At 38.4% G+C, this 21,112-nt stretch overlaps 1 long non-coding RNA gene across 11 annotated transcripts in view, besides 1 other annotated feature; it reads left to right on the plus strand.

Moving 5' to 3' along the window:
* The window catches only part of LOC105373456 (uncharacterized), a 529,181-nt gene that overhangs the window by 80,233 nt on the left and 427,836 nt on the right, over nt 1-21,112 (plus strand). For 10 of the 11 annotated variants that reach the window (XR_007086234.1, XR_001739304.3, XR_007086229.1 and 7 more), the window contains one exon: nt 3,762-3,892. This is a non-coding gene — a long non-coding RNA (uncharacterized LOC105373456). Of the gene's footprint in view, nt 1-3,761; nt 20,213-21,112 lie in introns of those variants that run through there. The other variant, XR_007086230.1, reaches the window with a different exon arrangement.
* Nucleotides 2,955-3,249: a silencer, noted in NCBI's record as "tiled region #8729; HepG2 Repressive non-DNase unmatched - State 24:Quies". NCBI's record gives its function as "represses a minimal TATA promoter and a strong SV40 promoter by Sharpr-MPRA in HepG2 cells {active_cell/tissue: HepG2}" and the evidence as "EXISTENCE:reporter gene assay evidence [ECO:0000049][PMID:27701403]".

The following is a 21,112-nucleotide window of genomic DNA, read 5'->3' on the forward strand; positions in this document are numbered from 1 at the left end:
CTTCCTAGGGGTATGTATGTATCTCATGCCTTGCCTGAGTTGCAGACACCTTTGTTGGGAATCCTGGAACTGGAGTATGTAAAGCTCCTGGGTCTCTGTGTGTGCCTGTACAGCTGCTCTGCCAACACTCCACACCACAGCTCTGTGTGTCAGACCCAAGGCTCTGGTCGTATGGACTCACAAGGGGATCTCCTGATCTATGAGTTGCAAAGATCCTGTGGGAGAAGCGTGGTTTCCCGGGGGTCGCGCATTCACTCACCACTTCCCTTGGCTGGGGGTGGGGGGTCCCTTGGCTCCCTGTTGCTCCTGGGTAGGCCATCGCCCCACCCTGTTTTTCTTCATTTTCTGCAGTTCGAGTTGTTTCTCTCATCATCCAAATGTGAGTACCTAGATATTTCAGTGAAGGTGCTGCATTCACTCGCCCCTTTCATTCCTCTCCATGAGTGCCACAGACTGCAGCTGTTTTAATTGGGTATCTTGGCCCCCTTCCTGGGCCAAGATAGCCAGTTAGAAACAGCTGCAGCTCTAGTTGTGAAGTTTCAGTGCTGTGTAGTGTTCTATGGTATGATCGTCACACAGTTTTATTTTTTTCTTTCCATGTTGATGGAAAAGATATGGAAAGAAAATTTAGAAAATTTTAAAATTTCTCTTTATGAGTACATGAACAACAATTGACATGAAACAACAATTGACATAATTGTTGTTGGAGACTTTTAAGACCTTCTCTCAGATATTGGCAGAACAAGTTGAAATAGAACAAGTTGAAATAGATAGAACAAGTTAAAACATAACTTCTGGGGATATAAGGAATGTTGATGGAGGAAACTTAATTAATGGATTCTTAATGGCTACATGTGGCCTGGCATAAGGATCAGAATACTGAGGACCCCCAGTCACAGTCACAGAATGTCTCTACCTACCTATTAACCTTTACCTATGGGTATTCATGGGGAGCAGAGACATAGCAGGCTGAAGGCTAGGGGGATGTCAGAAGAGCTAAAGAAGATCACTCTGAGGCACAACCTTCATTCCCCATGTGCACAGAAGCAGCTTATAGAAGGCTAGGGTTCAAGTAGGAAAGCAGTGAGATTCATCCAGAGCATACAGAGCTTTGGCTGAGTGCAAAATAGAGGCTTGCAGAAAACTGTAGATGGGGCAGGAGACCTGAGAGGCAGCCTTCTGCAGTTCAGCAGACCTTTGTAGAAAGTGCTTCAGAGGTCCACTGAAGGCTAGGGGAAGGGAATCAGGGGAGAAGGGACATACTGAGGCCCCAAACCCCAGACCAGGAGGCCAGAATTCAAAGAGAACTCAGTGACTTAGAGAGTTGGCCACTAGGCTATAAAATAGGAAGAGACCACCCTGGTTTAGAAATCTGCACGCTGGGCTATAAAGCTTAAAGGGTCCTTCAGAGTCTGACTATGCTCAGATTCTAAGCCACATTGAGCTAAAAGCCCTAATCCTGTGCTCAAATCACTTGAAGCCAGTCAAAACCATCTAACCAGTTCTGCAATAAAACCCAGGCAGATCAACTACAGTTTAGACTGGTTTAGCCTTATTCCTGCCTCCTGGTACACATGCAAACACACTGTGGAGGGACACACTGCATGTGTGAGACCAAAAGCAGGAATCAGTTGGCTTCTCATCAGAAGCAATGCAGGCCAGAACACATTGGACTATTTTTAAAGTGCTGACAGGAAAAAAAGTTTGTTCAGAATCATATAATATTATATCATAGGATATGACATATTAGCAAATTATCCTTCAAAATGAAGGAACATAATGGCCTTTACAGATAGACAAATGCTAACTGGTTTCCTGCAGACCTGTGCTATAAGAAACTGAAGGAAGTTCTTTCATGCTGAAGTGAAATGATACTTCATAAACACCTGAATCTGCAAGAAGGAATACAGAGGCAAAGCTTTTCAAAAAACTGTTAAAAACTGATCTTTGTGTGAGACACAAAAGAACGAACCATTCATTTAAATGAACCATTTAAACAAACTTTAAATATTAAGACACAGATTGAAAGAATTAGAATGGAAAATATATAACATGCAAATGATAAACATAAGAAGGCTGGTGAAACTATACTGTTAATTAAAAAATGGGTCTCAAGAATAGGAGAGTTCCTAGAGATAAAGAGAGAAACTTCATTTTCTCTTTATGAATAAATGGTTAATACACAAAACAACAATTGACAGAACTAATTACAGTTGGAAAATTTTAAGACCTTCTCTCAGAGATTGATAGAACAAGTTGAAATAAAACTCAGTAAGGATATAGAGGATTTGAACAATATTAGCAACCAATGTGACCATAATTGACAATTATAAAACACCACATCCAACATTTAAAATAGGTATTCTGTTCTAAAGTTGATATAAAACATTCGCCATATGCAGGGTCACAAAACAAATCACAATACATTTCAAGGAACTGAAATCATATGGAATATGTTTCTGGCCACAACAGTGATAAATTAGAATCAGTAACCGTGAGATATCAGAAAAGTCTCAAAACAACTAAAAAAGAAAGAGAAAAAAGGAAAGGAAGGAAGGAAGGCAAGAGAGGAAGAAGAGAGAGAAAAAGAAGGAAAAAAAAGTTAGAAGACTTATTCCATCTAATTGTACTGTGAAGCTACAGAGTAATCAAGAGATGGTATAGTATCAGCATAAGTACCAAAACTATATCAAATAAAACAGAAATATATCCACACATCCATAACCAGCTGATTTTTTTTTACAAAGGTGCCAAGTTAATTAAAAGGAGGAAATTAAAGTGTTTTTGTAAATGGTTCTAGAAAAACTGACTATTCACATAAAAATCCCCCGAATTTCAATCCTTGCCTCATACCATAGGATAACAAAAAATAACTCAAGATAAATTATAATTTTATTGTAAAATTTAAAACTGTTCAACTTTCGAATTAAGACACAGGAGGATAACTGGGCAATTTATTGTTTTTTTTTTGAAGCTAGGCTGTTGCAATAATTCAGGCAAAAGGTAAAGATTTCCTGGACTAAGGCAGTGGACATCAAGAGGGAGAAGAAGGAAGCAGGAATTTATTCTCAAAGGGCTCTCTCTAAAGTCTGCGATTCCTCAGACTACAGTCAATCTGTGTCATATGAGGACCTCGGATGGAAGAGCAGAAGCCGAAAACTAATCTTGGAATTTGCTAGATTTGTTCTGGCCCCTTTTTGCTTACAGGAGATTTAGATGATTGTGTGAAGTGAGGTATTGCTGGATCCTTTCTCTAGTCCATCCACAGACTGCATAGACTCAACAGCCTATACTCTTGTCGTCCCTTAAGTGCATGGGTAAAAACTGTCTGAAGGCCTGAGCCTCACCTTCTTCATATGTAAAATGGGGGTAATAATAGTGTATTTGTAATAATATTGTTATGATAATTAAGTGAGCTAACACAGTAAAGCACTCAGTGTAACAATTTATTATTCCAGGTAGTTGTTCACTGTTTTTCTTGCTATCTTTTTGTGTTTTCCTATTTTGACACTCTTTTATTCAGTACCTTTTAGCACTTTGGACTCTATTTTGTAACAATGTTTAGGTATCCTATGAAGGCTGGGGTTTCTCCTAATAAGTGCAAATCATTAAAAGTTTTGTGTGCTGAGACAGCATACTGTGTACTTAAAGTTTGCTTGTTGAAAGCACAGATAAAGGAAATGCCCAATCAAGTTTTGGTGAAAGACAGTGACAGACTGGGGTCTAAGCGTCTCTCTGCTCTATTTCTTCTTTCTTCCCAGCCATCATCCATGGAAAGTCCAGATTAGCCTCCTGGATGGATTTGTGAGAAGCAGAGCCTCTCCTCCAAGCCAGAGAAGCCATTGTGTACCAGCTCGCCCTATTAGCATACCATGTGCCCAGGAGTAAACAGGTAATTGTGGGACCACAGACAGATTAACCCATCACCTAAGGTGAGGCAGCTGAGCTGGGAAAACCAGAGGTCTATTTAATTTCCTCATTACTTTTATAGTGATTGAAACAAAAAGCTATTTATTTATTATTGAAGAGAGAGGTTCTCATTCTGTCACCCAGGCTGGAGTACAGTGGCACAATCATAGCTGCCTGCAGCTTTGAACTCCTGGGGCTCAAGCAGTCCTCCTGCCTCAGCCCCCCAAGTAGCTAGGACTAGAAATGGGTGCCACCATGCCTGGCTAATTTCAAAAAACCATTAAAAAACATAAATAAAATGATGTGCTTGGGAATGTGAAGAGTGTGTGTGGGTTGAAAATGAATATTTCTTCCAATGAACAGCAATTTAATAAAACTGAAAATTCTGACATTTTCTTGCTAGTACGGTTGATAGCTGTCTGGTTCATCCAGATGGTTGGTAACAGACTGCTTGAAGTGAGAATCCCAAATGAGGTATAAGCAGTGAGTGAATTTTTGCAGAGTGGTGCCGAGTGTCTTAGAGTGCGGTACTGATGATGCATTGTGGGTTTAGTAACCAGCTGAGGTCCTCGGTACCTCAGGTGGTGCAGTCCCAGGACCCAGGGGTTCAACACAAAGCAAAAAGCACTTTGAATGGGATGGGGCAGGTGCTGGTAATGAAAGAGAGTGCCTCTCTTCATTGTATCATGAGTTCTATGACAAGACTTTCACCAACCATGTAAGATATTAAATGAGATAATACAGTATGCTCAGCTGGAAGGAAAGATAAGGGCTTCTCTGTATTATGTATCTGTTCTTTTGTAAAGTCTGGTCACCATAATACAGGGAAATCCTTACCTTCTTTTTTAGTTGAACATCTCATATGCTAGTTAATCCTCATATCAATTTCATACAGTGATATTATTTTTAGGACACAGAAAGAGAAACTGAGGCACAGTATGTCAATAAGTTGGCCAAAGTCATACAGGCACTCCGTGAAAGAGCTGAGGTTTGTATAAATTCTGTCTAATGCCAAAAGTGATACCTTCCACTCTGTGATAGCCACTCTGTGATACCTTCCATTCCTTTGCCCTTTCCTGTCCTCCAGTTTAGCTCTTGGCTACTTTGCTCATGCTGTAACCTTCTCCCCATGCCTAAAAGGCCCTTTCTCTTCCTCTTCTCTCAACATGTTCTCAACAAGAAAACATGCCAGCTTTCTTGTTGATGACTCATAAGTTGGATAATCTCTCCTAGCACCATTTTACTACCTGCTTTCCACATACTAGTGACTCCTCATAATCTTTGGGGAGGACATTTAATTTGTGAACATTCACTGCCCTTTAATTTTGACTTCTGGTTGCATTTTAGTATTCTTTTCCAATGGACTGCCTCATAACCTGTGCAACATCAGCATCCAATCACTGTAAAGTGTGCAAATGTCCCCATGTTTTTTCTGGTCTATATCTATGCTGGCCCTGATGTTGGTATAATTCCCAGAGGGTCTTTTACAACCTCTTTTAGGAAGGCTTCATTGACAGCCTCAGGCTAGGTTTATGCTATTTCTTTATGTTCACCTAACACTGCATATTTTACTCTGTCAAAGGACTTTGTGATTCTCTAGTGAATTTTTCAATTTACTCATCTAATTTTCCAATTATATTGCAAATATTGAAAGCAGGAGCTATAACCAACTCAGCTGGTTACCCACAGTGCTTAGCATAGGAACAGCTAATAATAGGAATGTAGAAAATGCTGAAAAATAATGTGACTTGAGCCAGGCATGGTGGCTCATGCCTGTAATCCCAGCACTTGGGGAGGCCGAGGTGGGCGGATCACGAGATCAGGAGATCAAGACCATCCTGACTAACTCAGTGAAACCCCTTCTCTACTGAAAATACAAAATAATTAGCCAGGTGTGGTGGTGGGTGCCTGTAGTCCCAGCTCCTCGGGAGGCTGAGGCAGGAGAATGGCGTGAACCCGGGAGGTGGAGATTGCAGTGAGCCGAGATCGCACAACTGCACTCCAGCCTGGGCGACAGAGCAAGACTCTGTCTCAAAAAAAAAAAAAAAAAAAAGGTGACTTGAATGTACTAATTTCTTTAACAAAATGTAGAGAGACCTATGATGTGCAAAGCCCTATGCTAGACTGTAAGAATGCTGAAGCCAAAAATATGCTCACTGCTCTTAAGTGGCTCACAGATAGCAGAGAACCTGATATTTGAATGGATATTTGGGGCAATGTCCCATAGGTTAATGTAAGAGAATGTTTGCCACTGTGGGAACTCAGAGGAAAATGCCTAGGAAATGAAGAAAGCTTTTTTCTCTTTATTTTAGAGGACATTCTATTCCATAGTCCTGAAGAGCCTCTTTTGCATTTAGATGGAAATTAACAGGTTATCACCTAGTGTTTGATATTATTAGTTCTCGCACTAATCTTCTTAAGTACAAGTCTTGGTCTGTGATCTTGAGCAAATTATTTACTCTCTCTGTGCCACAGATTCCTCATTTGTAAAATAGGAGTAATACACTGCCAGGACAATCAGTTCCATCAAGCAGGGCAGGGGCTGAGAGTTATGCTGCTGGCCTTTCTTTCTCTGGGTCTTCAGTTGGAATGTGGCTGGCCCATGCTGGTTTTGTGTTTAAATGCTGTACTTATAACAAGAAGAATCTTTTTTTTTAAGCTGTAGATTTATAAAAACTGATCATATGCTGTGTATACAGAAATCTCAAGATGGTAGAGACATGTATGAATGTACTAAGTAGTAGTACTAAGTATTCCACCATGCTTATTGGTAAGGTAGGTTTTATTGCAAAACTCACACTAGGTACTTACAAATGTAGCCCACTTCTTTCCAACTATGAAAACAGTGTCACTACTTTATGGTTCAGTCCCTGCAGACCCTTCTCAACGCTTTTCCTATAGGTAATTTTCTTCTGCATCCTTCCTCCTACCTCCTACATAAAAAAAAGAAATCAGTGAACCCAAAATAAATATGAATAATAAATGTATATGCCTACCACATAGGATTGTTGTAAGGATGAAATGTGGATGTCTTGATATCTTAGAATGATATCTTGCATTCAATAAATGCTAGCATTATCAGTCTTTTCATTACAATTATTATTGTTGTCCTCAGCAAACCAGCGAACTCCATAATTCTGGGACAGGCCTTTTCAATGACATGAAAATATAGAGTAGCAGCTCCAGCCCTATATTTATGTTCATGTTTGTGCCATAGAGATTTGTGAGGGGGACACACAAAGTGAGAAAGAGATATGGATTCTGTTTGGATTCCTTGGGAGAACATGCATTTTTTAAGAGCTGGAAACTTAAAACATAAAAAACAAAGATATCCTAGAATTTGTTGCTCAAGGTTCTGAAGAGACTTCTTAAATTTTGAGAGCTGGAAAGAGGGGAAACATTTATTCTTTGCGACCTAATAGCAGGAGAACTGTCATGCTACAATTCACGTTTCTCAACTAGATGAGAAAAACAGGCTCAAATACTTTCCAATGCCTTGAATGTTTAGTGAGAGATGTGAAACTGGTAGAGTCCCCTGGTCCCTGTTTGTAGACTCATTATGCTTTCTCCTGGAATGTTCTGAATTCCTCTTAAACTCACAGAGATTGGTGGATACAGTCTTGGCTCATCACAGCCAATTCCAGCACACATCTCCCTCTGGGACTTGGGACTTCTGAACAAATGGCACATCCAGCTGCAACCTCTTCTTCCATTCTCCCCCAACTCCACATTCAAGTCTTGAAAATTACATTTTCTACTCTTCAATCAACTCCCAAATGTAGACTTCCTCTACCTTTTGCTTTATATCTCCCAAGGTTGCAAATGTATTTCATTCCAGCACTGAAACAATTTAAAATAACTAGCATATCTTGCCTGGAGAGAGAGGGCTCTTGGTAGCAATCTCCCTGTGGTCTATCCTACTATTTCTACTTTCTTCTTGATTTAGAGTCTGTCACTGTGAATGGGGACCCATTGTTCTCGGGAAGAAATCTGATATTCTCAAGTAGCCCTCGACACCTTCACTGGCTGCCTCCCTTTTCTTTCTCTGTTCTTGCCCACAGCCTCTGAGGACTAACTTCACACATTTCCCCCATGCTACTTGGCCTAAGACTTGCTTTGCTCCTCCATGCTGGCCTCCCCCAGCCCCCTCCTGGTAACCTCAAGATGTAAAATGCTATAGTGTCTCTGGCTTGGACTCCTTATCTGGCCCCCGATTCTTTCCTTCTCCCTCTAAGACATTGAAGAAGAAGAAGTAATGTTCATTTATAATGCCTAACTTCTCTAACTTTTCCTTCCAGTCTCCTTCAGATGACATTTTTGCTCATGCTGCCTTACAAATGAAATGTCCTTTTCTCAATTGCCCTAGAAGACGTGACATTTACCCAGAATTAGTTGGGATTAGATCCTTAGATTGTTGCATTAGATGAGAAATAGTTTTAACAAAGTTGGTGATGGGTTGTATATCAAAACAGAGAGAAGTGGGAGGCACTCGCTGCTTTCGAGACAGTATCCTCCTTCCACAATGGAATTTTTGGCAAGATCTTCAAGTTCTTGAGTTTCTTTTTCTCTTTCCTTCCCAGAACTGCAGGAAAGAGTAATTTTTAATTATTTAGGCTTCTCACCACCACCACTTTATTGTCCTACATGCTTTGTAACATGCTGTAGATGAAACCTGAATATCACACGAGGCTTCAGAATCAGGAAAATGTGTTCAATGACTATTCTAATTCCTCTCACCCAGATATTAAGCCATGTTCTTAATAGTATCTTCTATTGGCTGTGCTTTTATATATCTCCAGAACACTTTCAGACACATTCTTATTTGACTTCAAAAGTTGGTTTATCTACTTCCTGTCCAGGGGTTGTCTTCTGATTGAGTGGCTACAATGTGGTCAGAGGGACATATACCTTCACCTACCAACGTGACAAATCAAAACCAACAGACACAAAAGACTTAGGTACACGATTATTTTTGGACTAAGTACTATGAATACGAACCCAAATAGGCCTAGTTCCTTCCTTCAATGAGCCTGCATTCTGTGCTGTCCTCAGAATACTTGGGACCCACTTCTGTTGAGTTTATAGAAATGTGTGTGTATGCAAGGCTGGATTTTTATAAATTTCTCACTTACAAAATGATTTTTATAAAATGTCTCACTTATGCTTCTTCCTTTTATAATAATACAAGCCACATACTTTATAAGACACTAAAAATATTTTATGAATGGTTTTTGAAACCAAATATAAATGTGATTATTTTACAGTAAAGTTCACATCCAGGTTATGAGGAATTAAGAGACTCTTGACAGATAGTCTGGATGTTGGGATGTGAATATATGTGAATATATATAAATAAATACATCTACATGTGTAAATTTATATAAATACGCACATACATGTAGATCTATTTCAGGGTAAATATGGTAAGTAATGCATTTTGTTTGAATATTTTGCTCTCTTTGTAGATAAATAAGTGAGTTTTGTTTATCCTAGTAAAGGAGTACTTCCTAAACAGGATTCTATTCATTGCAGTAATAGGGAACTAGTGATTCTAAGTTGGAGAACTGGTGTGTCTACTGTCATCACTTATCACAAAGACCTTGGTGTAGGATATGCTCCTGGGAGAAGGCTCATAGGGAGAGAGATTTTTGTGATGGAGTAATCCAGATGTTTGAACAGCTGTATTAGCAGAGTTGTTTGGACAATTTTACACAATAATATTTTGTGATCAAGTTTTGTTATGTGAAATGGCCATTGTTTCTCAAAGTTCTTTTACTCAGAAACAGAACATGAATTCATAGAGGGTCACAATTTAATTGAGAAAATGAAATATATCCTTCTGAGATGTTACACTAAAACACAAATGGCTTTTGCTCCATCCCAGACATTCATGTGAAACAAAGCATTCTGCTAAAGAAGAAACCCATAAGGACTTTTTAAAATAGGATACACTTTGATTGTGATCCAAGGAAGAACTGATAGTGAGAGATTAAAACATTTCCAGGGAAATTTATAGCTTCCTGCATTTTTAAGGTTACTTTATGTCTTTACTTAATGGGCAGGCATAATTTATATTTGCCATGGCAGAAAGACGCATGGCCAGAGATTTTCTCTGCTACTCAGGATCTTGGTTGATTTAAGAGAGGAGATGCTATCTCATGCAGTACCAAATGGAGCCAAGACCTGTACACTTCACACAGCAGCCAAGCCTGTCTATATATGTTGACACGTTTTATAGGCAGTACTTTTCTGAGCTCTTGATCAAGATCAGAATAAAAATACAAATAATAATAATAAGATAAAAAAAAGGATAGGAAAAGAGGAGCAGGAGAATAAAGTGAAATTGCTACTGTGCCAGAAATGCTAAGATTAGCATCAGCAATTAATAATCCTAGGGCTTCTGTAATTCTAGAGTGTTCTGTAATTCTAGAGTGTGTGTTAACTAGAGTCAACTCAGCAAATGTTTATGGAGACCATGTGCCAAGCATTGTGCTAGACACTGAAAGATTAGAAAGGTGAATCAGACTCACCCCTCTATGATCTAGTTGGGACACTCTCCTATGGGAATTATTGCCAAGAAAAAAAAAGACATTAAATGTGACAGAGAAGCACAAAGAAAAATACTATAGGAACAAAACTCAGAGATTCTGCTTGATTTAGAGATTGGGAAAGCCACATGGAGGAAGAGAGACATACAAAGGATTTTACAGGAAGTGTGAATTCTGGTGAATGGATATGGAAAAAAAGACATTTTTGCTTGCACAATTTGTGGAGATGGGAGTATATATATAGCACTGGAGGATGAAGAAGTCTGAGTACGTGGAATAAAGGATGCTTTACGGGGACTGTGGCAAGGAAAGTCTGGGTCATCATTAGTAGAATCTGTTCTCATTATTAGTAGCACTAGAGTGAGGTTTGCTCTAGTGTGGACTTAGAATAGGCCATACACTAAAGCCTGATGTAGGTGGGCACTGGTTTGAATCCCACCTCCTGCTTTGTTCCAGTTCTCCAAGCCGCCATCCTATGGTTCATTCTGCCATGAGCTTCTCTTTATGCTGCAATAGATTTTAGGGAAACTGAAATGACCTGTCAAAGAGAAGGATCCCCTAACGGTGAAAAGGCCAGGTAACACGCTGAGCCGAAGGGGATGCCTGGGTTTTTACTTCGGTTCTGTTCCAAAGGGACCATCCTTGGACTGTGCTTATCTTCTCCCTCCCTGGAGGCTCCAGATCCTTTTCATTTGGTTTCTAGACATAAGTTGCCTTTAATATGGGCTTTAGGGATTTGGGCTTGATCCTGAGAAGTGCTATGAAGTTGTGGACAAAGACTCTGGCTCTGTGAGAGTTCTGCTTACTGGCTATAGCCTAGAAGGGTGCAGTGCTATGTGTATAAATCATCATTGTACCCTGGTACCCATTAAAATTATTGGACTGAGAATCATTGGCTTGGGATTTTGTCTTGGTTTGACTAAGACTGAGCTTTATTACCTTGGGCCAGTTACTTAACCTATTTGACCTCCAGTTTTGTCCTTTGTAAAATTATTTGGTTCTACTTGATCTCCAAGTTTTCCTCCAGCTCCAGTTTTTACTGTTGTTCTACAAAGAAATTCGGATTGTATGGCTTTTAAAACATGAATAATCCAAGAGTGGCTGAAGTTTCACATTTCATATTGACTTTTGTGTTAAATTTACTTTTAGCTGATATACTTCAAATTTGATATGAAATGGCAAACATTAAGTCATTCTTTCCTTGCAAGTATAATTCTAATGTAAGTCATTAATCCTGCCAAGGAGGGAAAAAAGTCAAATATTATTGTAAACAAACAGCTGATGGGAATGCCAAGTTTATTTAAGTTTTGAAAATCTTTGCAGAGGAAGTAGTATCCTGTAGTGATTAAATCAAACAGCTATATTAGGAATTCCTTACCAAAATCAGGTATTTACAGTAAATTTTGCTGTGGAATGTTGGCTGGTTTCTATACAGTTCTGAGGCTATTTTGCTTCATCTTGAAAGTAGCAGGGTATTAAAATACAGTACCGTGAACATTTTACCCTGAAGCTTAGCTGCCTTTTATTTTAGGGAGGAAAAGGTAAAAACTTTGGAATATAGTTGTGTAATGTAGCATAATGCAGTATAAAGAGGAATGCTCACATGTTTAATGCCCCACAAATGGAACTTCAGAAAACCACAGTAGCTTTTAAATGGTGCATTGCAAGAATAAAAACATGATCCAACCCTGAAAGCATTCCTGCTGGGTGGCTAGATGTTACTGCCTTTTAGGCCTGACTTTTCTCAGGGGTAAATCAGACCTTGTACAGCCTTTTATAGAGTGAGGCCTAGATTGTTCCATTATGCTTAGGAAAATATGAAAAACGAGCTAAGTGTTTCAGCAATTTTTTAAGCTAATTGAATCAGTAAGGCAGAAGCCAAGAGTGGGAGAATTTCTAATTCTGGTCCTTTGCTTTGGGCAATGATATTAGAAGCTAATGCATAAAGTATGAGTTATGAATGCCTGTTTACTTGTGTGCCTTCCTAACTAAACTGAGTTGCTTGAAGAAAGGGACCTTGGCTTGTATAAATGCATATTTCTGTCTGTGGTGACTAGTACATAAATGGACATAATGGGTCACCAGTGATTATTTGTAGAATAGAAAAATGAATTCAATAGAAAAAAATCTTTAGAGCAGAGGAAAATAACAAAAGCAATACATGAATGAGAAGAAGAATGAGCAAAGATTTTCGGGATAAATAGTGGGAATTATTAGCTTTGTGAAATGAAGGATTCCTCGGTGCTTGTTAGCTTTCCTTAATGTTCTGTTTAAAATGCATCCGTATTTATTGGACCCTTATTTTTACAATGGGATGAAATCTTGTAAAATTGGGGTTTTTACATTTCAACAAAGATAGAAGTTGATTCTAGAAATTAAATACAAATTATCCAAAGTGTCATTCTTTGGGGAGCAGTGTATAGGATGGGGTTGTCTCCTGGGACCTTTAGATGCTTCAATTTGGCCCATTATACAAATACAATTTTTACTACCCTTTTATTGACTGTCTTTAAGTTGACATTTTCATACTAGTTTTCTGCCCATCCATCCTGCAGAAAAACGGCTTGATGTAGTGTAGAGAGAGAATATAAGAGCCCTGGAAATCATTATATTTGGCATTCTGGAGTACAGGGTGGGTTCATAGATCATAATATATTTGTGTGTGTGTGTGTGCGCGCACGTGTGTGTCTATGTGACTGACTTAATACTACATATTAACAATGGAAATACCCAAAGTGAAAGAAAATTAAGGAAAAGGCATTTTATTATCCGCTTTCTGATATTGATTTACAACGTCAAAGCAAAGACACAGGGATTGGTGAGATATTTAGCAATCAATTTTCTATCTGTTTTTCAGTATGTTGCTGGTTTATAACTCGTGTCTTAAAAATTAGTGTGTGATGGCTGGGTGCGGTGGCTCACACCTCTAAGCCCAGCACTTTGGGAGGCCGAGGCAGGCGGATCACAAAGTCAGGAGTTCGAGACCACCCTGGCCAACATAGTGAAACCCCGTCTCTACTAAAAATACAAAAAATTAGCCAGGCGTGGTGGCAGGCGCCTGTAATCCCAGCTATTCAGGAGGCCGAGGCAGGAGAATGGCTTGAACCCAGGAGGCGGAGGTTGCAGTGAGCTGAGATCGCGCCATTGCACTCCAGCCTGGGCGACAGAGCAAGGCTCTGTCTCAAAAATAAAAATAATAAAATAAAATAAAATAAATTGGTGTGTGGTTTAAACACAGATTTTACACTTTAAATTGAGACCATCATCTCAGTTTTGAAGTAGGAAATTCCTAAGATAACTTTACTTTGTAAAAAATGAGGTCTCTCAAATGGTAGACAATTAATCCCAAGGCTTTAATTGTCATCTAAAAACATAAAGAATAAAGTGTGCCATTTCCTTTTTTATCTTTTCTTTTGGCTTTGTTTTAGAGAAAATAATTTTCTTATCAATTCTGCAGACATAGTGCTAGCTTATATCTTAAGAGCGGATGCTATCAGTTTTAGTACATTCGCTGAAGTTAAACTATCTACATTGAGTAGGAGAGGGGAGCTCTCCTGGCATTAAACCCAAACAGAACCTTAGTAAAATTTATAATAAATCCACTTCATTATTGCATTATATAAATGGTTTTAATCCTAGAAATGGCTATTAATGTGGTGTCCTCTTTATATTTTGATACCATAAACATAGAATATGACACAAAATTGGAAAAATGGAATTCATTCATTTGAATGTGTTGCTGTGGTTTTTTTTCTCCCCTGGCTATTCTAGAGGTTAAAGCTAAGGAAATGTCTCTAATTTTGATGTTCATTTGGTGCAATCTAAATATGTTTCTTGTTAGCGGCGATTATATGGAAATAAATTTTATTAAATATTTATTTTTGAGATTAGAATTCTTGAGCTTCAGGCACATTTGAAATCATTACTTAAAGGTGGAAAAAGTTACTTTATAGATTTTAAAGCTGGAAATGTCCCTGATTCAAAAAAAATGAACTTATTCTGGGTCACCCAAAATACTTTAAAAATTTCTTTTAACAACAGTTATGTATTGAATACTACAAGAAATGGGCGGGGCTTGACTGCCTTCAACAGGTGCATAATCTGTTCTCTTCTTAAACCATCTCTCTATCCAAATGTCATGTTAAGGGCTTTGGATATCATTCTTCTGGGCCATAACATCCTGTTTATATGTCCATCCCCAAATTAATTTTCTTCTATTAATTAGAACAAAATATTGAACTGTGTGTTTGTCTTCCCAACCAGACCCTGAGATCTTCAAAGTCAAGAGCAGTGTTTTGTTCAATCTTATGTTCCAAGAAAAAAAACACATACACACATGGATCTTGACACTAAATACTTTAAACGAATCCCATACTTTGGGCCATTAGATTATTTCTTCTGTCTCCCATTTTGCCTTATATAACATTGCAACAAATATTTTTTCATATAAAGCTTGGTTTGCTTTGTGAAATTTTCTCAAATATTCCTTGTATAATAATAATAATAAACATTTACATTTATATTTCGTGTTTTAATTATATTGCTAAGTACTTCACATGTGTTACATTAATTAATCCTCATAGTAACCTCTAAACTAATTACTATTTTCTTTTTACAAATGAGTAACCTGGTATTTGGAAATTAACAGTTCATCCAAGACCACACGGTCAGTAAGCAAATCCAAAACTATCTGAGCCTAAAGTCTGTGTCATTATACGTTATGCTATATTTACTTATTTTCTGGTAGTGGAATTAATAAGTCAAAATTAAGAATAATAAAACTATTAGTTTTATTAATGAATACAATAAAGATATAAGATTCTTGAAAAACTGAATGCTCTACAGGAAAGGGAACGTGACGTTTTGCTGCAGGTGTCAAAGCTTTGCATGGGGAGCTTCCTTAGCACTTGACATGTGTGCCTTCCTATGTGGTCCTAAGGAGAGTTCTGTACATGCGCTGAGCTGGAAGAACAATGCAGCAGTTCAGCACTATAGATCATTCTGGCCTCCAAGTTGTTCTAACATACCTTCTTGACAGAAAGTAGATCAGAGAAAAAGGTGTTCTCTGTTAAGTGACACCAAGAGCACCTAATGATCCAAAAACATCTCACTCTTGTGGCATTGAAGCCAGGATGTCAGCTTGGTCCATGCATTGATATGCCTGGTGTGTTTGTGCCTTTTCTGAGAAACAGTGGGGGCTGCTGCTTTATGCTAGCCAAGGACACAACTGTGGAACACAAATATCAATGTATCTCAAGTCAGAAAGCAAGGAAAGAATGATTGGCCCAAGGAAGCTAGGTGACCAGTGTAGACCTTCCAGAATTAATCCCTGTGTGACCTATATCTGGCTCTGTCTGAGGAGGATGGGCCAAAAGATTTGCTTACTCAGCGCTTTTTCACATTTGCCCAAATCTCCTAATAAATGTAGCATACATAATATAGCATAAAATGTCCTTAGTATGGTATATTGGAATGAGGAGACAAAGACCTGTGTTAGCATCGTGGAGTAGTGTTCCTAAGTAAAATTTATCTTCTGCACAGAGACTTCAGTTTCTTCATTTATAAAATGAGGAGGCAGGGATAAGATAATCTGTTAAATTTCTTTCCAACTTTTGAGTTGTTATCATGGTGAGTTCTATAATAACATTTAACATTAAGAGTTCTATAAATAACATTTGGTTCTGATTTAGACTGAAAGTGTGTTCAAATTCTTGCTCTACAACTTACTAGCAGTGTGTCTTTGGCCATGTTACTGAACTTTTATGAACCTCAGATTCTATTTCTGTAAAGTGGAGCTACTAATACTTTTTATTTTTTGTGGAAAGACAGCTCAATGCCTAGCACAAAGTCATTCTATGAGAAATGAAGACATGGTAATGATGATGATGCCATCAATGATTCTGTTTACCCCAGTTTTTCATAAACAGTCACATCAGATGTTCAATGTCAGTGTGCTGTATAGTGTATGTATTAGTTTCCCAGGGCTGCTAGTATAAAGCACCATAAACTTTGTAGCTTAAGCTATCAGAAATTTATTCTCACAATTTTAGAGGATAGAAGTCTTAAATCTAGGTGTTGGCCAGGCTGGCTCCTTGTGAAGGTTCTTGGGTAGAATCTGGGCTATGCCTTTCTCCTAGCTTCCAGTGGCCGCTGGAAATCCTTGGCATTTCTTGGCTTACAGTTACATCCCTCAAATTCTGCTTCTGTCTTCCATGTCCATCTTCCCTCTCTGTGTGTATTAGAGTCCCCATGTCTTCCTAGGATCTTCTTATAAGTACAATAGTCATTGATTGAGGGCCCACCCTAATCTAGCGTCACCCCATTTTAACTTGAATACATTATTAAAGACAACTATTTCCAAGTAAGTTCACATTCTAAGTTAGCAGAGGTTAACACTTCAATGTATCTTTTTGGGGAACACAATTCTACACAAAATAGTCTATGGGGAACTGTACAAATATAAAGCAGTGAAGTTATGATTTCTGATAGTGATGATCACAGGTTATGCAAAATCAGAATATAAACGAGTGACTTAACTAGGTTACCTTGATCTCTCTATATGCTCATTGCTTATAGAAATCAAGTCAGGGAGGATTTTGGTTACACTCCATGTCATAGATCACTAAAGTCATCCGAGTTTTCCAATTTTGGGGAATAGTCTGTGTTCCTAAATGACTTTTGATTTCCCCCAAAATTTGTGTCTTGGCTGTCTTTGGAAATGGTGACTGCTGAAGACAGTGAAATTATCTTTGAACTCAAAAATGACCCATTATCAAAACGACTACTAATTTTGTGTCTGTCAGGCTCTGAGTCAGATGATTTATTCTTATTCAGTGGCTTGCCTCTGGTGTGGCTCCACCTGCTAGCTCAGAACTGCTCCACCTGCACCTCGGCCCCACTGGCAAAAGCCAGGTCCTAATGCTGCATGACAAATCGCAGCACCAAACTCATTTACTTCCGAACCACTGAGCAGGAATCCCTTGATTTTAAACCCATCAGCATCATGCCTTCAATTGCCATTTCCTTAGCAAGTGTGAATTTGGGGGGGGCATAGTTCTCAAAACCCTCAAGATGTACCGTCTCCACAAGGAGGCCAAATTAATATGACATTTAGGAAGGGCTCTAAGCTAAGAAAAACATCTTTCCTAGGAACCTCCAAGTATCTCCCTCCCCAAACACATGAATTTATGATCCCATGTGTGAGTTACAGGGCCAGCAGATGATGATAGCTGACAAGCTATCTTTGATTTATTTTCTCTTGTGTCCAAAACACTCAGAAAATAATATTTTGTTGTTCGCCAAATTGGAACCTTAGTTCTACCGATGAATGCCTAAGCTTGCCAGATATCTACTGTTTTACTGTCTTCTTCTCCAATAAACATATCTGAAATGTTGTCTGCAGATCTAACTTTCAGGATCAGCATCGTTCCAAGGTCAGGGCATGGCACTGAAGCTGCCTTGTTTCCATTGAGGATTGATGTAATTTTCGCCATTCCCCTCTGTTCTTTTATGAAATTCTGGGATTATTCAGCCTTTTCTAGAATCTTAAATCTATATTTCTATCTATCATTTATCTGTTGACCTGCTTATCTATCATCTATCTGTGATATTACGTTATTTCTTTGAATATATAAAATATTAAAATTTTGAATAGACAAATTTGAAAGACTAGAAATATAAATGGTGGTGGATTTATTTCCAGAAATAATAAGCATCTTTTTCTTCTTGAGCTTCAATTTCCCTAATTTCCTTTTGTTCTCATTATTCTTGAACTCCTACATTCAATTAACCCTTGGTTGCCCTACTAAATTTTAATCTTCTTGATGTTTTACTTATTTTCTCCATCATGGTATATTTTTCCAGATTCCTGCTCTTTTTGCCTTTCTGTCTTCATTCCTCTCTCCTTCTCTCCTGTCCTCCATCCTTGTCTTCTTATCTCTCTTCCTTCCTTTTCTACCTCTTTTATAATTCAAAAAGAATGAACGTGTATAATGAAAGAAGTAGAAGAAGGATAAGAGAAGGAGAAGGAGGAGAAGGATGAGGAGAAGGAGGAGGGGGAATAGAAGAGAGAAGTGGAGAGAGACAGAGAGAGAGACAGAGAGAGAAAGAAAAAAGGCATAAGGGAAAGGAAAAAAAGCATAAAGTGGTAAGATGAGAAGATGGGAACAGGGAAGAAGAAAATACCTAAAACTACAAGGCCTAACATTAGTGGACAATGTATTTAGCACTGAATGCTTGTCCAGTGAACACTAAAAGGGAAATATGACTAGTTGCAAAATATACACTGCTGCTAATGTAAAATCATACCATTTGCTTAACAAAATGGAAAAATATTACAGTTTGAAACTACAGTAAGATAAAGATTTCTTAATTGAATATCAGCCCCTAAATTGGCTTTTAACAACCAAAAGTTTTGATGTAATAATTTCAATTCAATGGGAAGTGAAGCCGACGACTTCACTGAGGCACTGACCGCCCAATGCAAAGCTGCATCTCCAAGAAAGGCTGCAGGAAGGCTCAGTTGTAAGAACACAGAATCTAGAGTTCCAAGACCTAGGCTTACGTGTTTTTATCACTCACATGTTCTGTGACCTCAGGCAAGCCTCCTTGTCTCTTTGTCTCTCAAGGGAATAATGAAAAAAAGTCTCATATACATGCAAGTGTTATCATTAGTTATTAATTATTGTCATCACAAATTGTTATGTTCCAAATACACTTTAAGTCTCAGATAACACCATTTTTCAGTCTATTGTAACATTGTTAAAATATTTGATTCCATTAAGTTAATTCAATATATTGAATATTTCATGGAAAAACTTTAAGTGCTTTTTAAAAAATGTTCAAGGGCTTTTATTTTCTGGTTTTCAGGTCAAATTTTTGGTTCACAGATGTTACAAAAATACATATGGAGGGCATCCACTGCAACAGCTCAATATTCTTTTAGATTACGTTTTAAGAAAAAAAAAAGAGAACAAAAAACTTACAACAACACCTGTTATTCAGCAGAATTTGACCTGACCCCTTTCTCCTTTTCTTGTTATTATAAACATCAAGCTCTTTAAGTGAGAGCTGTTTAAAGGACTGAGGGTTGTGAGTGTTCCTTCCTAGATCCCAGATGCATTGGGAGACGGATGGGCTTTTTGATCTTTATTTTATGAGTGTCTGATAAATTGCCTCTGGCACCTGGCAACTGAAATTTCACTATCTGAAAACTAACCCTCATGTCAAACAATGTGACCAGCCTTAGCCTCTCAGTTGAGGATCTCTGTAGCTGGGTGGAGGATGCCTTCCACTTCCTGGTCAGGTCTACCACCATGCTCAGGGGTTTACATACTTTTAATTTCAGAGGGAAGGAAGGATTATTAAAGGGCTTTATATGCTATGCAAAAATGTGCTTTTTGAAAGGTTTCATCATAACTCCCATTCTAGGATTTTTGAATAAGTCAAATAGAGACTTCAGCCCACTGTCTGGCCTGAAAAAAAATGCTGGTAACAGGATAAAGATTTGCAACTCTGGGTCATGAGCCTCTTCTCACTAGACTCCATCTGTGTGTTGATATAAGAAGAATGCAGGTGGTCTTTTTCTAGGAACAGCAAAGCTATAAACAAAGTCATCAGCTCAGACTATTATCACCTTTCTTTTAACATCTTATCCGGGGCAAGATTAACTCAACCCCAAGAAAGGGCTCTATAGTTTTCTCTGTTTACAGAGATTCAAATATGCAGATATTTTAATTTTTAAGAAGATAGAAAAATAATGAAATGATATAAACCCTCTCATATTGCGCTTCTTCAAAGGGAAAGAAGCCTGAGAGAGCAATGATAAATGAAAATATTAACCATCCCGTAACTTCCAATGAATATGTCATCATCATGGTGGAACACAGGTCCCTTGACTTGAGACACCTATGTATGTACCATATTACCACTTGTCACTCTTTTTTCCTCTTCCTCTGCTTTCTAAACTTGTCTGTTTAGAAATAGTTGTTACTTGGCTGGGCGTGGTAGCTCATGCCTGTAATCCCACAACTTTGGGAGGCTGAGGTGGGCAGATCATGAAGTCAGGAGATCAAGACCATCCTGGCTAACACGGGTGAAACCCCATCTCTACTAAAAATTCAAAAAATTAGCCGGGCGTCGTGGCGGGCGCCTGTAGTCCCAGCTACTCGGGAGGCTGAGGCAGGAGAATGGCGTGAACCCAGGAGGCGGAGCTTGCAGTGAGCCAAGATCATGCCACTGCACTCCAGCCTGGGCAACAGAGTGAGACTCCGTCTCAAAAAAAAAAGAAAGAAATAGTTGTTACCCCTGGAAGACAATATGTGTACATTTTCTCTCTTCTCTCAATCTTGGAGGAAATTTTTGTTCATCTTTTAAAGTTTCCTTCTGGGTTGCTGCTTTATGTACTTTTTGAGATCTCTTACAGAGGTCTAATCCTGTTGGCTGGATGGAATTGAGTTTGGACAGGCTAAAGTTTTGTTTCAATTTCTTTCTTTCTATCTCTCAATTTCCTTCTTTCTTTTTGCAGCCAACAGGAGATTTTTAGTTTAGGCTTGGCTATCTGAAATACAGTAATATTGCTGTAAAAACAGCAATGCCCTAGGTCAATCATTTACTTACCTAGCAGCATTTATTTATTATTGAGCAAGCAACATTTA

This window comes from Homo sapiens, chromosome 2 (genome assembly GCF_000001405.40).
Source record: "Homo sapiens chromosome 2, GRCh38.p14 Primary Assembly".
In the NCBI taxonomy this organism is placed as follows: domain Eukaryota; kingdom Metazoa; phylum Chordata; class Mammalia; order Primates; family Hominidae; genus Homo; species Homo sapiens.